The 6,000-nt window shown below is 57.9% G+C and overlaps 1 protein-coding gene across 1 annotated transcript in view, besides 2 other annotated features; it reads right to left on the minus strand.

The window, feature by feature from the left end:
• The window catches only part of DLGAP3 (DLG associated protein 3), a 64,215-nt gene extending 60,579 nt beyond the window's left edge, over positions 1–3,636 (minus strand). The window contains exon 1 of the mRNA NM_001080418.3: positions 3,437–3,636. The gene's annotated coding sequence lies outside the window, so the exon portion shown is untranslated. The remainder of the gene's footprint in view (positions 1–3,436) is intronic.
• Positions 3,145–3,214: a silencer, noted in NCBI's record as "silent region_631". NCBI's record gives its function as "represses an Ori minimal core promoter by ATAC-STARR-seq in GM12878 lymphoblastoid cells {active_cell/tissue: GM12878}" and the evidence as "EXISTENCE:reporter gene assay evidence [ECO:0000049][PMID:35858748]".
• Positions 4,195–4,244: a silencer, noted in NCBI's record as "silent region_632". NCBI's record gives its function as "represses an Ori minimal core promoter by ATAC-STARR-seq in GM12878 lymphoblastoid cells {active_cell/tissue: GM12878}" and the evidence as "EXISTENCE:reporter gene assay evidence [ECO:0000049][PMID:35858748]".

Below are 6,000 nucleotides of genomic sequence, written 5' to 3' on the forward strand. Positions count from 1 at the left end.
TGTGGGCTGCTGTGTAAAAACACATGAACATGTCAGCTAGCCTGTATAAGTTTATACAAGCATGTTCTGAGTGTTTTCACATGTTAACAGCCCACGCAATCATATGCAAGCCTATGTAACCATATGTGTAAACCAGCTTCCAAGCAGCCTCCCCGCAGCTCTCCAGCTACAGCCCCAGGGACAAGGCCACCCACTTCTCCAGACTCCCTTATTCCCAGACCCCTCCATCAAAGCCTTACTTTTTCTGTCTGTGACATGGGAAGAAGGGCTGGTAGGAAGAGATGCTGCATGGAGCCCAGGGGCCTGACAAGTTATTAGCAATGATGAGCTGGCACCTCGTTACCATAACGATGGTGCCACTGCCTCACCCCAGCTCAAACCCAGACTCCCCAGACGGCAGGAGGCCCGCTGAGCCAGCAGCCTTCAGACTGGGGAGGGGCAGGGTGGATAAAGAGGAAATCAAGACATAATGCTTGCATAGTGGAGGGTACGCAGCTGTTCTTCCAACCCCCACTGAGTGACAAAGCTTTGACTCTACCAAGTGGGAATGAAATCAGAATCTGGGAAGGTTTCCTGACCGTGGGGATGGTAAGACCAGAAGGGGTCTTTGGAAGCTCCTCTAGGCAAAAGTTTTTGTCATCATTTGCTCCCTTCATCACCTCACCCCCAAAAAACTAAAAAACAACCAAATACGGGGCCCCTTGCTGAATTTCAGTCTCCCCACCTGTAAAATGGGGGTAATCCCTTTATCATTTGTCCTAGACTCCTGGAAGATTTCATTAGAAAGGGTTTGGGGGTAACTACAGACCCTTCCTAAATCAGACAAGCCCCAGAAGTTTCTCTATTCATTAGGAACCCAATAAGGTAAGGAATGGTCTATCCAGCTAGAGGCAAAATGCACTGGAAACTGGGGAGGATGAAGGAAAACAAGCTTAGCCAGCTCGAGCCCCAACATCAGCTGGAAGAGATGATGTTAGGTGTCAGGCAGCCGCTGAAAGCAGGTACTAACATGAGAAAGTCTGGGAGTCTGGCCTGTAGCAGCTCCAGCCCCTCACCAGCAGGAATCAAGACAAGACAAGCCCATGGCCTACCTCGGTGGTGGGTGTGGCTAGGAATCCCTATCCCCAGCGACATCTGTAGCGCCCTCTCTTTGGCAAGGAGTCCCAAGCTGAAAGATGTACAGCCTTAGGCTTTTTGAGTCTTCATTTCTTTTCCAAAAATCCCCTGTACTCAGCTCTGATGGGGGTGGGGAGAGTTCAGGAATAGAAGGCAACATGGAGGATTGCAAAGTTCCTCGTCTAAGATTAGCCTAGGAACTCACAAATTCGTTGTGTGACCTTGGGCAAGTCCCCTCCCTTCTTGGGGCTTCAGAGTCCCCGGTTTGTAATGAAGAGGTTGGACCAAGTCAATACTAAGGTTCCTCTCCTGGCCATCATTCTACAGCTACATACAAGCTCACTCGTTGGATGTGAGCCCCCTGGCACAAAACTCAGCGGGCCCTGCCTGCCAGATCAGTGGGGCAGTGGCGGGTGGGAGATGCGGGGGCTGTATGTGAGGCCGTTCATCCTATGTTCATGTTCCTTTTAGAAACACCTGCCACCCTAGCCCTCCCAGCTCCCTTTTTAGACCCTGATTCACTGCCAACTCACGAAGCCTCTCCCTCCCCTCCCTCCTCTCTTCTCCCCCCACCCCCCACTCTTTTAGGCATTGGCAGCTGGGTGCAGAAGTAGCCCCAGCATTCAGGGAATGCTGCGCAGTGGTAGAGGGCAGTGCCCCCAGGGTCAGAGAGAGCACACCAGGAAGTACCACTCTCTAACCTTGGCCCAGCCCAGTTCTTTGGGTCACTGAAAGACCTGGGCTGAGGTCTTTCTGTACCACTAACTAGCAGTGTGTGGTTGTGGAAAATGCAATTCATTTCTCAAGCCTCAACATCTTCATCTGTAAATCGGCATTATATTTGGTTGAACCATATGAAATTGCTGTTTTTGTAGGTTAAATAAAAACAGTTGAATATTGCAGTTGCATATGGCTTAACGTGATACCTGTCCTGCCTGCTTCCCAAGGCTGTTGGGGAAATAAGAAGAGTTCAGAGGGCAGCATTTTCAAAAGCCCTGAACTAATATGAGGGCATTATTTTATTATTATTACTTCAAAGAGCTTAGTACAGACCCACCCGGAGCCAGTGGACTGAACCAATAACCCAGAACTTGAAGGTTTGGGACTTGGAAGTCTGGGAGAGCGCCACCTGCTCTGATGACTAACAGGGCAGACGCTTCCACCTGGCCTCCTCATCTCCTAGCTCTAAAAGGCCCTTGGTGAAACATTATTGAGATGACACAAGTTCCCAGGCCCCCAAAAGGAGAAGCAGCACACGCAGGCACATACTCCAGCTCGCCCCAGATCCCCCCTCCCACCCACCAGGGGCCTTAGCATGCAGGAAGGACACGACCAGCAACATCCCAGAGGGCACCCCCTGAGGTAGGTGAAGGTAGAGACCAAGCTGGGGAGTGCCACAAAGCTCTTGCCTGAATCAAGGGTCAGGGGTCCCCAGAGAAGTGGGGAATGATCTGACCTCGGAAAAGTCTCATCTCCCTGTCCCATATCCCACCAGGAATGGGGGGACAGTGGGGGGGACAGAGCCCAGGTGTGGGTGATTCAGAGTGAACCGCGCTCAGATACACTCTCTCTCACACAGCCAACGCACGCGCGCGCACACGCACACACACACACACACAGTCACACAGGGCAGATACCGGGACCCACTCACAGAGACAGTCACGCCGGCACACACATCCATTCACACACTCACAGACACACACAGGCACACATGGGGACAACACACACTCATTCACTCACATGTCCACAGATGCATACACAGTACCACCCTCCACACTCACGCTGCATACACCCACTAACATGCACACACACTCTCGCCCACAGTGACACACGCACACACTCACGGCATACACTCACCGGCACACACAATCGCCCACAGACCCACACAGTGACACACTCGGCACAGACACACAGCGACACGCACTCACATTCACACACCTGCAGAGGAAACTTCTCTCCGGATCTCCCCAGCACCACGACTTCCCCCACAACCAGCTGGCTACTCCCTCCCAGACCCGAGCCTCCAGCCGGGCGAGGGCTGGGCCGGGGCTGGCCTGTCCCCGCGGCCCTGACCGGGAGCGTGGGTCCGCGGTCCGCGTGGTCCCCTGCCCGCCCCTCGGGTCGGGCCCGCGGGCAGCCAGGCCGGGGCAGGAGCGGGGGCAGCTGAGGAGGCCCAGCCCCTCCCCCCTCCCGGGGCCGGGAGCCGAGCGCCGGAGCCCGGGGCGTGGGCGGCGCCGGGGCCGCAGCCGGGCCGTGCCTGGGGGGCGCTGCAGAGGGAGCCGCGAGCGCGGCCCCGTCCCCACTCCTCCCCGCGGCTTACCTGGCCCGGCTCGGGCTCCGGCCGGGTTACATGGTGCCGGCGGCCCGGGCCGGGGGCGCTGCGGCGTTGGGCAGGCGGGCAGGGACCGGGGCCCGGCACTGCGGAGCCCCCAGCTGAGGGGCCGCGCCGGCTGCGGAGCCCCAAGCGAGCGCCGAGCGGCAGCGGGCGCGGGAGCGGGAGGCGGCCAAGCCACGGAGGCTGGATTTCCCGGGGACCGGGAAGGGGAGGCGGGGGGATCCCGCCCGCGCGCTCCGCCCCCGCCCCCGCCCCCGCGCAGGGCAGCCGAGCAGGGAGAGGGAGAGGGAGAGGAAGAGGGAGGGGGACCGAGCTCCCCGCCCCCGCGCGGACCCAGGAGGGCCGAGGTCGCCGCCCGCGGGCGGCCGCCGGGGTCCCGGAGGAGCGCCCACCTCGCTGAGCGACGGTGCTGGGGGCGCCCAGCGTAGGGGCAGGAATGAGATCCCCCTCCCCGGGGACCCAGGAACAGGCACCCGAAGTGTCACGGCCACGCACAGCCGACCTGGGTACAGGGACCCAAGCCCGGCGGCGGGCGGGCGGTCGGGGACCAGCTCAGCCTCACGGACCGGGTCTCGCCCCCCGCCGAGGGGCAGTCACGCCCTGAATGTCACACACAGCCCCCAGGCCCGTCCGCTTAGGAGACTCTCCTTCGGGCTTTCCCGGTCGGCCGCCTGACCTCAGCTCCTGGCTTGGGGTCAGGGAGCCCCCCTCTTCGGCCCCAGCCCCTGCCAGGATGGGGCGCTGTGCCCGGCCTCGGAGCCGCTGGCAGGCGTCCCCCACCCACAGTCCGCACAGCCGAGGCATCCCCAGTGTGGAGGGAGAGCCCCGCTGTACCTGCCGCCTGTGCTGGGCCCCCGCCCGTGCCCACTGTGCCCGCCCGCCTCTGGGCCCTGAGCCTGGGATTGTGCCATGGCGGGGTCGGGGTGGGGGGAAAGGGACTGTCCGAAGCACAGCTGGAGGCTGCGGAGCCCGGACACAGGCTGCGGGAGCCGAGAGGCGGAGAGCGGACTGCAGCAGTCCCCTGGCTTGAATCCGTCTTGGCGCCCAGAGCGATGCTGTAATGGGGGGGAGGGGGCCACGGTGGGGAAGCCGCAGGGGGAGGGGCTGAAGACGTGGGGGAAGGGGTGGCTCCGGATTCCGGCTTTCCAGGGTAGGTGTGAGGAAACACTGCCTCCGGCGCTGAAAGTTGGGGGTGGAGGTTCAGTGGGCATCCTTAAAGCCCTCTTCCCTCCTCTACCTTTTCCGGTCTTGAAAGCTTGGGATGGTGAGGTGTGGGCTTGGGAGGCTTGAGACTGCCCACCTCTCTAGGAACATACCTTGGAGTTGTTCTGATTCAACGGCCCCCACCCCGCACCCCAACAACTCCCTGCTCTCTGTTTCCTTGTGGGGCCACCGGCTCTCCTCCCTGTATAAAGGGGAAAGTGAGGCACGGAAAGGAGAAGCCAAAGGCCCAGAAGAGCTAGAACTGGGAGCCAAGACCTCTTTTCCCCAGGGAGATGATGTTTTAAGATGCCACATTACATTAAATAACATAAGGGGCTTGGAGAGCCCTCTTCCCAAGGGATACCTAGAAGTCTGGTAAGAGACTAGTAGATTGGTCACCTACCCTGCTGCTCACAAGAACGGTTCATTGTCTCTTCAATCATGAAGTGAGGTTGCAGACCATTTCCAGCCCAGGGTTCAGTCAAGAGCAGATGTCATGAAAATAAGAAAGTTGTTCCCAGGAACCCACTTTAGAACTGAAGGAAACATCTCACTTTCCGTGGAGCATAAGAACAGCCGTTGGGCCGAGCGCAGTGGCTCATGCTTATAATCCTAGCACTTTGGGAGGCCAAGGCGGGTGGATTACCTGAGGTCAGGAGTTCAACACCAGCCTGGCCAACATGGTAAAATCCCGTCTCTACTAAAATTACAAAAAATTAGCCGAGTGCAGTGGCACGTGCCTGTAATCCCAGCTACTCAGGAGGCTGAGGCAGGAGAATTGCTTGAACCCGGGAGGCACAGGTTGCAGTGAGCTGAGACTGTGCCACACTGCAGCCTGGGCAACAGAGCCAGATTCAGTCTTAAAGAAAAAAAAAAAAAAGGATGAGCTGACGGCCGGGCACAGTGGCTCACGCCTGTAATCCCAGCACTTTGGGAGGCTAAGGCAGACGGATCACCTGAGGTCGGGAGTTCGAGATCAGCCTGGCCAACATGGTGAAACCCTGTCTCTACCCGAAATACAAAAATTAGCCCGGTGTGGTGTTGGGCGCCTGTAATCCCAGCTACTCAGAGGCTGAGGCAGGCGAATCACTTGAATCCGGGAGGCAGAGGTTGCAGTGAGCAGAGATTGCACCATTGCACTCCTGCCTGGAACTCCGTCTCAAAAAAAAAAAAAAAAAAAAAAAGAACAGCCGTGATAGAGGATGTTAAAAAGCACCACCGTGTTTTCGCAGTTCTAAGACCTGTATTTTGTAAACTATTCTGAAACTGGAAAGCATCTTACAATAAACAGGGACATTTAATATGGCTCTTCTTACCTTTCTGTTAAAGCTATTAGAGTTGGTGCA

This window comes from Homo sapiens, chromosome 1 (assembly GCF_000001405.40).
Source record: "Homo sapiens chromosome 1, GRCh38.p14 Primary Assembly".
In the NCBI taxonomy this organism is placed as follows: Eukaryota; Metazoa; Chordata; class Mammalia; order Primates; family Hominidae; genus Homo; species Homo sapiens.